The sequence below is a fragment of the Homo sapiens genome, chromosome 16 (genome assembly GCF_000001405.40).
Source record: "Homo sapiens chromosome 16, GRCh38.p14 Primary Assembly".
Classification (NCBI taxonomy): Eukaryota; Metazoa; Chordata; class Mammalia; order Primates; family Hominidae; genus Homo; species Homo sapiens.
In genome coordinates, this window is record NC_000016.10 from 83,898,885 (window position 1) to 83,913,563 (window position 14,679).

The 14,679-nt window shown below is 47.7% G+C and overlaps 1 protein-coding gene across 1 annotated transcript in view, besides 7 other annotated features; it reads left to right on the forward strand.

Annotated features, from left to right (window-relative positions):
- Nucleotides 1-430: a silencer, noted in NCBI's record as "silent region_7769". NCBI's record gives its function as "represses an Ori minimal core promoter by ATAC-STARR-seq in GM12878 lymphoblastoid cells {active_cell/tissue: GM12878}" and the evidence as "EXISTENCE:reporter gene assay evidence [ECO:0000049][PMID:35858748]".
- MLYCD (malonyl-CoA decarboxylase) overlaps nucleotides 231-14,679 on the forward strand; it is a 27,917-nt gene continuing 13,468 nt past the window's right edge. The window contains exons 1-4 of the mRNA NM_012213.3: nucleotides 231-788; nucleotides 8,103-8,215; nucleotides 9,242-9,398; nucleotides 13,334-13,483. Of these exons, the coding sequence (NP_036345.2) occupies nucleotides 261-788; nucleotides 8,103-8,215; nucleotides 9,242-9,398; nucleotides 13,334-13,483 (948 nt within the window). The 5' untranslated portion in view covers nucleotides 231-260. The remainder of the gene's footprint in view (nucleotides 789-8,102; nucleotides 8,216-9,241; nucleotides 9,399-13,333; nucleotides 13,484-14,679) is intronic.
- Nucleotides 731-900: a silencer, noted in NCBI's record as "silent region_7770". NCBI's record gives its function as "represses an Ori minimal core promoter by ATAC-STARR-seq in GM12878 lymphoblastoid cells {active_cell/tissue: GM12878}" and the evidence as "EXISTENCE:reporter gene assay evidence [ECO:0000049][PMID:35858748]".
- Nucleotides 9,863-10,384: an enhancer, noted in NCBI's record as "NANOG hESC enhancer chr16:83942352-83942873 (GRCh37/hg19 assembly coordinates)". NCBI's record gives its function as "activates a minimal SCP1, AML or CMV promoter by ChIP-STARR-seq in primed H9 embryonic stem cells {active_cell/tissue: H9 hESC(primed)}" and the evidence as "EXISTENCE:reporter gene assay evidence [ECO:0000049][PMID:30033119]".
- Nucleotides 12,018-12,843: an enhancer, noted in NCBI's record as "NANOG-H3K4me1 hESC enhancer chr16:83944507-83945332 (GRCh37/hg19 assembly coordinates)". NCBI's record gives its function as "activates a minimal SCP1, AML or CMV promoter by ChIP-STARR-seq in naive H9 embryonic stem cells {active_cell/tissue: H9 hESC(naive)}" and the evidence as "EXISTENCE:reporter gene assay evidence [ECO:0000049][PMID:30033119]".
- Nucleotides 12,018-13,944: a biological region, named in NCBI's record as "CDK7 strongly-dependent group 2 enhancer GRCh37_chr16:83945234-83946433".
- Nucleotides 12,745-13,944: an enhancer, noted in NCBI's record as "CDK7 strongly-dependent group 2 enhancer chr16:83945234-83946433 (GRCh37/hg19 assembly coordinates)". NCBI's record gives its function as "activates an origin of replication core promoter dependent on BRD2, BRD4, P300/CBP, MED14 and CDK7 cofactors, with strong dependence on CDK7, by STARR-seq in HCT116 cells {active_cell/tissue: HCT116}" and the evidence as "EXISTENCE:reporter gene assay evidence [ECO:0000049][PMID:35650434]".
- Nucleotides 14,676-14,679: part of an enhancer, noted in NCBI's record as "H3K4me1 hESC enhancer chr16:83947165-83947672 (GRCh37/hg19 assembly coordinates)", that runs on past the window's edge. NCBI's record gives its function as "activates a minimal SCP1, AML or CMV promoter by ChIP-STARR-seq in primed H9 embryonic stem cells {active_cell/tissue: H9 hESC(primed)}" and the evidence as "EXISTENCE:reporter gene assay evidence [ECO:0000049][PMID:30033119]".

The following is a 14,679-nucleotide window of genomic DNA, read 5'->3' on the forward strand; positions in this document are numbered from 1 at the left end:
ACCGGAGTACAAGCCGCCAGCCGCGCGGGAGCAGGCCCCGAGGCAGCCCAGCCGCGGGGCAGTAACCTTTAGCCACACTTGGCCTCCGGCCGCCGCCAGAGCCGCTCCGCCCCCGCCGCCTCGCCCCCACCGCCCCGCCCTCCTATTGGCCGCGTCCCCAGCCGGGCTCGCGGCCTCGGCCAATGGGGCCGGCGCGCGCCGGAAGCCGGAAGCGCGGCAGCGGCGGCGGCGCTCCCCCTCGGCAGCTGTTGTGGGGCACCATGCGAGGCTTCGGGCCAGGCTTGACGGCCAGGCGTCTCCTCCCGCTGCGGTTGCCCCCGCGGCCGCCCGGGCCCCGGCTGGCGAGCGGGCAGGCGGCCGGCGCCCTGGAGCGGGCCATGGACGAGCTGCTGCGCCGCGCGGTGCCGCCGACGCCGGCCTACGAGCTGCGCGAGAAGACACCGGCGCCCGCCGAGGGTCAGTGCGCGGACTTCGTGAGCTTCTACGGTGGGCTGGCCGAGACGGCCCAGCGGGCCGAACTGCTGGGCCGCCTGGCGCGGGGCTTCGGCGTGGACCACGGCCAGGTGGCGGAGCAGAGCGCCGGCGTGCTCCATCTGCGCCAGCAGCAGCGGGAGGCGGCGGTGCTGCTGCAGGCCGAGGACCGGCTGCGCTACGCGCTGGTGCCGCGCTATCGCGGCCTCTTCCACCACATCAGCAAGCTGGACGGCGGCGTGCGCTTCCTGGTGCAGCTGCGGGCCGACCTGCTGGAGGCGCAGGCCCTCAAGCTGGTGGAGGGGCCGGACGTCCGGGTAAGGGGCCGCCGTCGATCCCCCGGCAGCGCGGACTGGCCGCCCTCCTCGAGTAGTCCTCACTTGCCCCCTCCAAGTCCCACACACCCCGCCTTCCCTGCCCGATAGCACGCTCACTTCGCCCGCAGTTACCGCCTGCCAACTGTGTCCCCTTCCCACGCTGTCTGAGTCCTGGCCTCGTCAGAGCACACCCCCGCCTTCCTCCAGTCTGTCCTTGAAGTCCTCACTTGTATAGTGTTTACTAAATACTCAGCACTTGGTGGTCTTTAAGGTAGCTGTCACCTCTCGTACCTGATTAGTGTGTGCTCTACAGTCTTTTGAAATTATTGTAGCTGAGAAGTGTTTCATCTATATGGTATACCTGAACTAGAGCATCAGGCAGCCTTCTGAGACCCTGGATGGTGTTTCAGAAGTTCACTGGGCACCCGCTATGTGTGAGACATTGTCCTGAGAAGTCCTGTGAAATGCACAAAGGTAAATAGGACTCAAGGTCACCACCACCACCCAGGAGTCTCCATGGCTTCTGGCCTTGTCTGTGCTCCATGACTTTTGGGAGGGCATTTAACTCCCTGCGTTCAGTACTTAATGTGATGATTCTGAGTTGACTTGAGGTAATCAGGCATTAGCACAGTTCATTCATGTTAAATGCAGACACATACTTTGAGATTTAAATGATTATGACCCGAAAGAAGGCCTAGAGCAACATATACTCTTCTTTTATACTGTTAGTATTAAATACGGCGAAAAACTAACCTGCCCTTTTTTTATTTTTATTTTTGTTGCCCAGACTGGAGTACAGTGGTGTTATCACGGCTCACTGCAGCCTCGACTTCCCCAGGCTCAAGCAATCTTCCCACCTCAGCCTCCTGAGTAGCTGGGACTACAGGTGCAGGCCACCATGCCCGGCTAATTTTTTTTTTTTTTTTTTTTTTTTGTAGAGAGGGCGTTTCACCATGTGGCCCAGGCTTAACCTGCCCTTTTAATGAACGAAAAATGACGTAAATGTTTCAGGAAGTTTTGGACATTCAGAAGTTTGTTATGTGCAGTTGGTGTTAAAAAAAAATTGAACACTTGAATGATTATGACTTGACCCATTTAAGAACTCTAATACTGGTTTAATAGTTTACATTCCTTCAGTCTTACGTGGGTGATAACACGTATCCCTTTTACAGTAAAGGAGAACATGCTGAGGTTGTGTTACTTGTCCTGAAATTCAGAGCGAAAAGCTCTTGCTGATCACCCACCCTAATCCAGGGTTATTTGCACTACGCTTTATATCACTGTCTTACCGTTAATCAGATGTTTATTAGAAACTTTCTTTTTTGGCTACTTAGATGCATAAAATTGGGCATAATTAAGTATGGGATTAATGTCAAGAGTGACAACAGTGGCCATGATTTGATTCCCCGTGATAGCTGGTTAATTTACAGCGCTAAGTGTTACTGAGGGCCAGGCATCTTTGGCCGTAAGATTCTCAGACAGAAAGCCCACAGTTGCTAATTGCATGACACAGAATCAGTCATGAATTCTTACTGTGTTGAATTATCATGTTCTGGGCTCAAGCCTAGTCTGAATAGCTGAGTTTTTCTGATCCACACTTGGACATAGTACTTGCAGTATATCATCCCCCCATGTAAATGATCAGCTCCTCGAAAACTGGGAAACTTGTCTTTAAATTTCTTGCATAGCAGAATGATGAATGAATCATTGCAATAGATTCCTGGGTGTCCTGGCATAAGACACACTTGACACACTAATCATTCAGCATTTGTGTGGAGGTGAGTCTGCCCCACACTCAGTCATAGATTTTTGAGCCTGAGAGAAAGCCATGAAGGACTTGAAAGGTTTCTGCCCAGCTGAGAGGGTCCTCATATCAGACATTTGGACAGCTTTGTCCCTCATTGATTTCTCACATCCGGTCCAATTCTGAATTCTCTGGTTCTGTGAGATGCTGTGGAATACATCCTTTTGTTCTTCCCCACTCAAGAAAACTCTTGGTTATCGCGTCATTGGGAAGGAACACGTTGCATGGCAACTGAAGACACTCACATCCAGACTTGACTGTTGAGAGAAAGGAGCTGGCCCCTGGGAAATACAGAGGCTGCTGAGTCCTTAGACATTCACAAGTTTCCTTGCTTTTTGACCAAGGCTATTTACAGAAGGGAAAAAAACATTGCATACTGTAATGCTAGGCCAAAAGTCCTGTGGACCAGAGGTGTTTATCAAACAGAATGAATAACGACAGTCTGATCTTTGCCTCTGCATATGGTTTGGACATAATGGCTTCAGGAGCCTTTCTGTGATTGCTTTATTGTGCCCCTTCCATTTCTTTACCTAGAAACCCCAGCCTTATATTCAGTGCATGTAACTGTTAGTAGCTGAACCTATTAATTCCCTTCCCCTTCCCTTGTTCTACGTAGTTGTTTTCTCATATATACACATATATATGTATGTGTATATGTGTGTGTGTGTGTGTGCGTGCGTATATATATATATATATATATATATATATATATATGGTTTTTTGTTTTGTTGTTTACGGTTTTTTGTTTGTGTTTATTTTTTTGTTCATGTTTATGTTTTTTCTTGTTACGTTTCCCAGGCTGGTCTTGAACTCCTGGCCTCAAGCAAGCAATCCTCCAATCCCAAGTGCTGGGATTATAGATAGGTGTGAGCCCAGATGTAATTTTTTTAAAATCCCTGTCGCTTAAATCAGTCTTAGAATAGAATTAGATTGTTCTGTACCTATAAACTATCAACTGGGATCTGATATTGTAACCTCTCACCAGAATCACTTAATGTGGTATGATCTGATCTATTTTTTTAATCTGATTTTTTTTTTTTTTTTTTTGAGACAGAGTCTTGCTCTGTTGCCCAGGCTGGAGTGCAGCAGCACAATCTCTGCTCATTGCAACCTTCGCCTCCCAGGTTCAAGCCATTCTCCCACCTCAGCCTCCTGAGTAGCTGGGAATACAGGTGCTTGCCAACACATCTGGCTAATTTTTGTATTTTTAGGAGAGATGGGGTTTTGCTATGTTGGCCAGGCTGGTCTGGAACTCCTGACCTCAGATGATCCGCCCGCCTTGGCCTTCCAAAGTGCTGGAATTACAGGTGTGAACCACTGTGCCTGGCTGTGTTCTTACTTTTTAAAATGTTCTTTTCCTCTGATCTGAGTGAGTTTGGAGGCTTGTTACTGCCTGGATTTGTGGCCTCCTGAATGTAGAGGAGTTTGGAGGTATGTGTGTCCCTGTGGTTGCATGGTAGGTGTGGGTATGAGGATGTGATGTGTCTGGGGGATGGTGGTTTATAGGCTTTTTGTTTTTCTCCAGAGGCCCAGTTGGTTGATGACTTCAGTTTCTTAGAGGTGAAATCCCAGTGAAACCGAGTCGAATCCCCAGTAGAGGGGAAGGTCTGAGCGAGGTTCAGTGATTTGTGGGCACTCGAGGAAGGTTGGCCTTTAATTCATGGAAAGGGTTCCTCATGGGCAGTTTGGACCTTGCTGTTAGGGTGGAATGAGAGGTGCTCCAACCTTAACAGAGGCACAGAAACTAGAGAAGGGACCTGGTTCCCACTGCCACAGCCACCCGGCCATGCTAGACACCTGCGTACCCTCTGCCTTTTAGTTAATTGAGTACTCCTTGTTGGTTCTAGTAAATTCTGTGCTTACCTATGCTAAATAATACTTATTTTTAGATAGGACAGTATACCCATAGCATCAAGTGTACACCTGCGGAGTGTCAGCTTACGTGAGTGGGAATTTTCCCCAAATTTCTCAGCCTCTGCAGTGCTACCCTCATCCATGACTTTATCCTCCCTTCCCCAGAGCAGGGCTTCTGGACAAGGGAAGGTAACTTTTCTTCACATACCAAAATAAGCAGATCTTGATAGAGCTTCAAAAGAGAGGGAACCAGTTTCTCTTTTAAAAGGAAAAGTGGGCTGGTCTAAACGGTGTCATACAAGTCAATGGAATTAACAATACACAATACACAGAGCCGGGTGCAGTGGCACGCACCTGTAGTCCCTGCTACTTGGGAGGTTCAGCTGAGCCCGGAAGTTCAAGTGCAGCCTAGGCAACAGAGCAAGACCTGCCTCTGAAAAAAAAAATAAGAAACACTCCAGCAGAATCCACTGAGAACTGTCGCTGCCCTTAGCATCACCAGGATATTCCCCGCAGTTGTGTTTCTCAGTCTTGTATTGGTGATAAATGGTGCCTGAATTAACGCACGTACAGTTGCAGAGGCCTCTTTCCCTGGTGGTGTTTGTATCCTGGCAACGTTGCCGCGTGCTGTGGCTCATCCCAGCCTGAACAGCTGCTGCCGGTGTTAGAACTGAGCAACGGAGACTTCTAACCTTTAGCCTGGATTCCCAGTTCTCGTGTACCAGTGTCACATTTTGTAGCTGTCAGGAGCCCAAAATAGAATGAAGAGATCTGTAGGGGAGGAGCTTTCATCAGCCAAACCATTTCTTTCATAATTAATATTAAATTGATAGTAAAACTAGGTATTTCCAGCTTTTTTCATATCACGAATGTAAGACAGATACCAGTACCTCTTACGCAGAGCTCAGCTCATCCGTTCCTAAACTGGGGTACAGAAGCCCTCCTGGCCCCTGGGATGGTCCATAGATAAGTATCAGAGGAGTCCATGTACCCCAGGAAAACGTATGCACAATTTTACTAATGTATTTGCAGTGTTTTGGGGGCAGGGCCTATGGTTTTTAGCACGTAAGAGTGTGAGAGGATCCCAGGAAGATTAAGAATTGCTATAGTCAAATGCAGAAAGTACAGTTTTACAAAGGGCCATTCTGTGTCACCTAGCAAATGATCTCTTTCATCCTGCCCTCTTGCTACTTCCTAATCACGATTCATTCCATTTTTCCATCTTTTTCATTTGATATCAATCTATTAGTGAATGCTTTGCGAACTATAAAAATGAATCAGAAGTGGATCCTGCTTTTATGGCGTTTACAACCAAGTAAAGGAGATTGAGTCATGGAATGTAGAGTTAAAAGGAATTGCAAAGATCTTCTGGTCCAGCTGTCTATCTAATGCTTAAATCCGTTTTCAAACAGCTCCGTTGAGTTCTGTCCACCTGTGCTTGATGGCTTCCAGTGCTGAGGGTCACCGTCTCCCAGGATGACCTCTGTGGACAGCTCCAGCTATTCAAAAGTTCCTCTTTACACTAAATTGAGTCCACATCTGACTGCCCATGACTTCCACCAGTCAGTCCTAGATTTCCTTCCCCGGCCCCCATGGGGTCACACAGAACAAATTTGTGGCCTCTTTCGTGCCCTAGTGCTTAAACATGTAAAAGGAGACCTCATCTCCTTCCGAAAACTTCTCTGAGCCATCACCCCAAAACCTGCAACTCTTTCTCAGGCGTCAAAGTTCTGAGTCCTTTCACCCTTTAACAGGGATTAAAATGTAAAATTGTTTTATAAAATTTGGAAGCTGAGACAGGAGAATCGCTTGAACCTAGGGAGCAGAGGTTGCAGTGAGCCAGGGTTGCACCACTGCACTCCAGCCTGGGTGACAGAGGAAGACTCCATCTCTCAAAAAAAAAAAAAAATTCTAGCTGTTGTAAAGCCATTCTTATAGGTGTTGCCCATTGTGTTCTTTATGACCCTTGTAGAGAGATTCAGAAGGTCATTCTTGTATCAGATGTCCTGAGATGTTTACTGTTATTTAATAATAATGTTCAGTGGATCTGTTACTATGTAGTTTATGAGTAACAAAGACCCAAAATAACAGTGATTTGAATATGACAGAAGTTTGTCTGTCATGTGAAAGTCTAGAGGTGGGCAGCCCAGAGCTGATTCTGCTCTTTGGTGCTCTTGGTGGATTCAGACTTGAATCTTGTTGCTCTGCCGAGAAAAACCTTCATCTCCAAAGCCACGTCGTGGCCCAGGATGGCTGCTCCAATGCCAGCCATCACACCGCCTTCCAGTCTGCAGTGGAAAGGACAAAGAAAAAGATGGGCCAAGGGCCTGCTCCTGCTGTCTTTTCAAGTTCCCCAAAGTGGCTGCAGGAGACCTCTGCTTACCCCTCATTGACCAGAACTCTGTCACATGGCTGCCCCCAGCCGCAGTGCAATCTTTGTTCTGGACAGCTGTGTCCCTAGCTGAAAAGTGAGGCTTCTGTTAATTTGAAAGAAAAGGGGTACAGCCATCGGGGAACAACAAGCTGTGGCTGTGCAGGCAGCACCGAGGCGACGCTGCTCCTGCTCAGGGCCTTGTGTTCTGCTCTTGCTGGAAAAGCTTCAGTGCAGATGTATCTTGGGTGGTCAAGTCAATTCACATCATTTTTGGAAGTAGATACAATATAAATAAGTGAGGCAAAATTAGGATAATTTCATCAACTCTGAAATGCATTGGTTGCCAGATACGCTATTATTTTATGTCCCTCTAAGGTAGGTTAAAAATGCTGCCAGTTACGGCGGGGCACAGTGGCTGACGCCTGTAATCCCAGCACTTTGAGAGGCCGAGGCAGGCAGATTGCCTGTGCTCAGGAGCTCGAGACTAGCCTGGGCAACGTGGCAAAACCCCATTTCTACAAAAAAGACAAAAAAAAATTATCCAGGCTTGGTGGCGCTCACCTGCAGTCCCAGCTACTTGGGGGGCTGAGACAGGAGGACCACATGAGCCCAGGAGGTCAAGGCTGCAGCGAGCCGTGTTCATGCTGTTGCACTCCAGCCTGGGTGACCGAGTGAGACCCCGTCTCTTAAAACAAAAATGCTGCCAATTAGTCTGTGACCCGCCATCATTCGAAAGATGCATCCTGACTTGAGAGATGTTAAAATATGAAAATGTACATCTCTGAGTTGATGAAATAGGGTTCCTGAACCAAGTACTTGTCTTTCTTAGGAAATGTAGGCGTAATGTTTTGACGTATCAAAGAAGGTTCCCGAGAGGATGAGGACAGTGCTGTTGACACCCTTGCTGTCTTAGTGTTTCCCTTACAGTGCATCTTTCATTGTTATGTTGATTTTATATGATTAGTATGCTCACTATGGTGAACGAATTGGAAGATATTATTTGATTTGGGCAACTTAGTTCAAATTGAATTGTTTCCTTCAGAGGTCTTAACAGACTGAAGTAGTTAAGTCTAAATAGAGCGTTGAACGAAAGAAAGCCTGACTTGGTTTGAGATAAGATGTCTGACAGAGGAATCTTGGGAAAAGCTGTTTGGAGAGTTGTCTTGCACAATTGTCTTATGTATCGTGCTTGAGTGTTTTCATTCCTTGTGCTGACCACAACACAGAGATGGGCTTGATCTGTCGCACATTGGAGGCCTGGGATTTATCTTCTCCTTTTCAGGAAATGAATGGGGTGCTGAAAGGAATGCTCTCAGAATGGTTTTCCTCCGGGTTCCTGAACCTAGAACGGGTTACCTGGCATTCACCGTGTGAAGTGCTTCAGAAAATCAGTGAGTAAGTATTACGGTTTTCATTTTCTTTGTACATACATTTTTCATATATATTTGTGTATGTTTTATATTGGCTAAAAGCTAATCTATCTCCATTCATATGTACAGTTTATTTCAAGTCTAATAAAATCCAAACACAGTATTTGCAAATGCTGCGGCTGTCACCACACATGATACTAAGATTATGGAGGAAGACGAAAGGGCACCAAGAGAAACTGATATGTCTGTCAGTGACCTGCGTGTGAGGTCTTATTTGTGTCCTCTTATTTAAAGCAAACACACCCATTTTCGCTCGTCCCAAGACCCCGTGATCAGAGTTGTAGAAACTCACTGGACCAAGCGTTTGCATTCGTAATCAAAACAGTATTTAGCCCACCTGGTGGTTAAGATTTCTCCCTGAGTTAAAATCTCTAAACAAACTATATCATGTGTTAGTTACATCCAGGACCCGTATGACACAGGCTAGCATGTCACGGTGCCTTCACTACCTTTGCACGTAGGCATCTTCACATTACATGTTGTCCCATGGAATCCATGGTTTGAAAAGTGTCCTATTTGAAATGTAACCAATTCAATTCAAAGGGCTGACAGTGCCTGCTGCCATTTCACATGCTGAAAACAAAATAGCGGTGGGGCGAGATTGCTGGAAGACACCAGATGAGCCCCCTGATTGCAGCACTGACGGCTTCACAGAGATCCCAAGGAAAGAAAAGACAGTGTTCAACACCAAGCGTTTGATTAGGTTTCACGTTAAAATCTGCATGAATCCTTCCCCGGAGCCTCACAAACTCCTTTTAAAACTGGGGTTAAAACTGGAGCACAATTTTGTGTGTAAAATGGTCATTCACTGTAGTTCCTCTCAGTGGGTGCTGTTTCTCATGAAAATGACTTTCTTTGAATTTTCCAGAAGAGTCCATTAAAGCTCTATTTAAAGAACTTGTTTGACTTAGACGAATAGTATGAATAGGAGTCAGCAGCCGTTGCTTGTGAATTATGCATTTGTCTTGTCTCTTTATAAATTCCGCCCCAGGGCTGAGGCTGTGCATCCTGTAAAAAACTGGATGGACATGAAGCGCCGCGTTGGGCCCTACAGAAGGTGTTACTTCTTTTCTCACTGTTCGACCCCTGGGGAGCCCCTGGTCGTTTTGCACGTGGCACTGACTGGTGACATCTCCAGCAACATCCAGGTACCTGCGATGGTCAATTCGGGACAAGATGGGCACCCCATAGAGCCCCTTGTGTTTTTTGTTTTGTTTTGTTTTTACTTGATTTTATCCTCCTTTTTTTTTTTTTTAAATAAATGGTTTTGGGCTTTTTTAAATTGGTTAAATAAAATCTCCAGATTTGTAGGTGTAGAGCGTAGAAGTGTAACAGGCAGACAGTTATGGAGCAAGGCGAGCATTCATCTGGCTGTGTTGATCTTAGGTTGAGATACAGTTAAAGTCTATCACAGAACATGTTTGTGAGGCAGAAAATAATTGTGAAGGAAGAAGGGACAGATACCTGATTCATACATAGTTTACCTTTACAGCTTTTGTTAAATGCCTGTGGGGAGTTTTGAAAGATACTTGATTAGAAAATTGAAAGAGGCACTCCATCCCTTATGCTTGATGTGGGCCGAGGACACTCCTTGGCGAGTGGAGGTTATGGGACTTGTGGTTGATAGCCCCGTCTGTGGCAAGCTGCTCTGCTCCTGGATGAGTTTGGCAAGAATGTCTGAAACACTCCTGCAGGCCCGTGGGGGCAGAAGAACCAGGGAGCACATTGCAGGGTCTGGAAATAGGAGTGCTAAAGATAGGTGGCAGGGAGCATGAGACCCCTGGGGCATTGCAGGTTTGCTCAGACCAAGAGGACATGAGTGGCTGTTAGGAAGCTAAGTGGATGATGGCCCATCACAAGATGAGTGCCCTAAGCAGGTGTCCTGCTGAGAAGTTAGAGAAGCTGAGTAGGGCAAATGAGCAGACATTCCTGATCACCAAGGAGAAACACATTCCCTTACAATGTTTGTGTGTGAAAGAGTCACACTCCGATGCCCTCTTGGTGGGACTAGGGGCCATTCTGACTTCTCTGAGGGCAATTTGGCAACATGGATGAAAATTCAGAATGTGCATTCCTTCTGGCCTAACAATTCCACTCCTAGGAACTTCTCCTGGGGAGATGCTCAGCCCTGAGAGTCAGATGGCTATTCCTGCAGCATTGCTGACAGTTCAAAAGGGTGGGGATGATAACCTAGGGCCCATCAGGAGAGAATGGGCTCCAGGAGGGCGCTGTAGACACATGGCGCGGCCTCGTGTACATCAGATATCTGTGCATGTATTTAAATATTGTTGTAGGTTTATATGGAAAACCAGCCTTGACTTACTCTTGAGTAGAAGTTCAGGTTTATAGAGTAGCATGGGTATGGTGTGGTCTTATGAATAATATTAATAATATCTGTTGAGTAGTGCTCTGTGCCTGTCAGTCTGTGAAGCACATTTTGTGTGTTATTGCCCTGAGCACCCTGTGATTTAGGTGGTGGTGTTGTGTTTTTTTTTTTTTTTTTTGAAGCGGAGTTTCGCTCTTCTTGCGCAGGCTAGAGTGCAATGGTGCTGTCTCGGCTCACTGCAACCTCCAACTCCCGGGTACAAGCAATTCTCCTGCCTCAGCCTCCCGAGTAGCTGGGGATTACAGGCATGTGCCACCATGCCCAGCTAATTTTTTTTTTTTTTTGTATTTTTAGCAGAGATGGGATTTCACCATGTTGGCCAGGCTGGTCTCGAACTCCCGACCTCAGGTGATCTGCCCGCCGCGGCTTCCCAAAGTGCTGGGACTATAAAGGCGTGAGCCACCGTGCCCGGCTGATATAGGTATTATTATGAGAAAACCGAGGCTTGAGGGAACGTCCGCAACTTACCCATGATCATCGAGCAAGTAAGGGCGGAACTGGAATTCAGACCCAGCTCGCATCCTGACTCTAAGGGCACGTGAGAATGTGCGTGGGTACGCAGTCCTGTGTGCATTTGTGTGCGTACCGAGAGCCTCTGAGACAGGCCTGGAAAGGTGTTCATCAAAAGGGCAGCAGCAACAGTCATGGAGATTAGATTTTGGAGTAATTGGTTATTTTTTTTTATGCATGGTTTTTTTTTTTTGCCTCTTTTTGTTTTATTCACTTAGTTTTATCAATTTTTTGTCTCTTTGACATTATACATACCTCACTTGTATAACCGAAGAAAGTTTTGTTTTTATTTTGAAAACTTAAAAAAAAGATTGCTGGGATTTTTGCATAAGGAATCACAAGATAATTTGCAGACTTCTTAAAAAACAAAGGAGAGCCCGACGCAGTGACTCGCGCCCAGAATCCCAACACCCCGGGAGGCTGAGGAGGCAGCCGGATCACCTGAGGTCAGGAGTTCCAGACCAGCCTGGCCAACATGGTGAAACCCCGTCTCTACTAAAAATACAAAAATTAGCCGGGTGTGGTGGTGTGCACCTGTAGCCCCAGCTACTTGGGAGGCTGAGGCACAAATGAGAATCGCTTGCCACTAGGCAGAGGTTGCAGTGAGCCGAGGTCGTGCCACTGCACTCCAGCCTGGGCGACAGAGCAAGACTCCATCTCAAAAAAAAAAAAAAAAAGAAAGGAGATAAGCCTGGGAGTGATGTGAAGTGAGCTCCGTCCTATGAACGACAGAGCTCTTCCATAGAGCACGGTGCAGGACAGCGGGCCCCTCTCGGGCCTCGGAGGATATGTCCTTCATGTCATGAGCTCTCCCCCTTTCCTCACAGCAGCATTTCTTCACTTTGTTGGAGTCACAGACCCTGTTAAGAATCTGGAGGGAAAAATGCTGAGGATGTTTTCCTCAGGGCAGATATGCATAGACTCACACATTCCATACACAATTTCTTTCTTTTTTTCTTTTTTTTGAGACGGAGTCTCGCTCTGTGCCCAGGCTGGAGTGCAGTGGCATGATCTCGGCTCCCTGCAACCTCCGCCTCCCGGGTTCACACCATTCTCCTGCCTCAGCCTCCGTAGTAGCTGGGACTACAGGCACCTGCCACCATGCCCGGCTCATTTTTTTTGTATTTTTAGTAGAGACGGGGTTTCACCGTGTTAGCCAGGGTGGTCTCGATCTCCTGACCTCGTGATCTGCCCGCCTCGGCCTCCCAAAGTGCTGGGATTACAGGCGTGAGCCACCGCGCCCGGCCTCCATACAATTTCAGAACAATTTCAGAAAGTTCATGGACTGACTACGAGACCTCATCTATGCAGTCTGAGCTAAACGCTCCTACTTCCAGAATCGAAGGTCGCTGGTAGAAGTTAAAATAGTTTAAATGGGTTCTTCAAAAGTAAGCTGGTTTCCCTGCTTCAAAGCAAATGAAAAGGTAGCCCCCTGCTGTTCCACTGTTATCCAGTGAGCTTTGGAGTGTTAAGGATTATGCTTCGGAGTATAAGGGATTAGAAAACGCTGCCGTGAGAATGAGAGGCAATAAACTCAGACTTCAGCTAAGCGACTTCCCAGTCTAGCTCGTTTCTTAGAATGCCTCGCAGGGATGTCTGCAAATGTGTTACCATTTAGGAAAAACAGAAATGGCACAAAACCCAAAAGGTACATGAAAAAGTCAAACAAAGGTATATTTCCTAAAAGAAAATTATATAGGACTGCTTATAGCCTCTTGAGAAATTTGAAAAACCTAGGGTTCAGAGAAAAGGAGGAAAAACAATTCAGTGGTGGGAAACGTCAGTCCTTTAGGAGAAGCTGAAGGAACTGGAGCTGTTTGGTCTCAAGGATCCGTGTGTTATCGCTGAGTGTTGGCCGGAGAGTTTATGGAGCAAGTTTTTGTTTGCACAAAGGCCTAAAAGAGACAGAAAGGGGCATACATTGCTCTTCAACAAAGTTTGCATGAAAATTTCAAGAAACGATGCAGTGCTGAGGACCCCCAGGCACGCGGTGGAGTCGCCTCCTCCAGAGAGTTTTCAAAACAGAGCAGCTTTTAGGCTCTGTAGCCTGAACCCCAGCTGGGGAGCCGAGGTCTCTTCCAGCTCCTTCAGTGCTCTGAGAATTGTCTTCTCGTCCCAGCAACAGGCTTGCCTCGTGGGCTGCAGAGCGGCCAGGCCACCCTTAGAACCATCGTTGGTGTTTTCCAGGCAATCGTGAAGGAACATCCTCCATCAGAAACAGAAGAGAAGAACAAAATCACTGCTGCGATCTTTTATTCCATCAGCTTGACCCAGCAGGGACTCCAAGGGGTGGAGCTGGGAACATTCCTCATAAAGCGAGTCGTCAAGGAGTTGCAGGTAAGCGACACGCAGGGAGCCCCGGTCACGCTTGGCTTCCGTGTGGTCAGGTCAGCGAACCTCGTGGGGTGTCAGGTGCCATGAGGGACACAGATGAAGACAGGAGCTAAAGGGAGGGGCAGGGGGTAGAAAAGGTGCCAGAGACCCCTTGGCAACTCCTAGGAGCCATGAGTCTCCCAGAGAGATGAGAATGATGCTGAGAGAGGCCTCCAACCCAGCTGCCCAGTTGACTGCAAGACGCAGTTGTATTCTGAGGTCATCAACTCTCTCTAGGGTGACCTCGTTCTGACCTGGTCAGGACACTCTGGATTTCACGTGTCATCCTGGTGTAAGTGTCACTCTGAAATGTCCCAGCCAGATGGCACAGCTGGTAGTCATCCTGCCACGCCTGTCCTCCCCCTGCCCCTGCCCACACTCTCAGGGCCTCTGACACCTGATGTGCTGTTAGCTTGGGCCTTCTCATGGCCTGTGAGGGAGTGCTGAGGTGAGACCAGACAGCTCGAAGGTAAATGCATCGGCTTTTAATCTAACTCTCCTCTCTTTGCTGCCCTGTGAAAAACATATTAACCATCCTACATCAGAAATGTTGATGTTCACTCCAGGCCTAGGCTTTCAAAAACCACCAGCCTCATCAGGGACTTGGATAAATTCCAATGAGTAGAATCTAATAATTAGGTGCGGTAGCTAGATGTTTGCTAATGACTGGCTCTGAGCAGGGTGTTCACTGTGTTGGGGGCTGCACATGGCTGCAGCAGAGGCCTTCCTTTGAGGACGACAGTGTGGAGTGGGGACGTTTACATGCTCCTAGTAAATTCATAATCAATTTCTAATTGAAGCCCTCAGGATTCAGCTGGGCGTGGGCTTCATTACCACGCCGCCATGTTTCCCCCGGGTAACAATGAGCCGTAGCTCATTCCCACAGTTTCCTCATTCCTCTGTCTTCACTGAGGGTGGTGATTAGCAGGGCGGGGTGGGGAAATGTATCAGGGTAAGGAAGGCAGGAAGAGGAGGAGCAGATCCCGGGATTCGGGGGAGTTGGGCCTTAGCCCAGCAGCTGTCCTGAGGGTGTCGCTTAACTGCCCCTGGGCGGCCAGCCTAGAAGTCCTCAAAGGGAGTCTGGAAGGGAACAAATGGCCCCTCTGCGTGGAGGCGCTCGTCAGGGTTTACAAAAGCAAAACACAGCTGGGCGCAGTGGC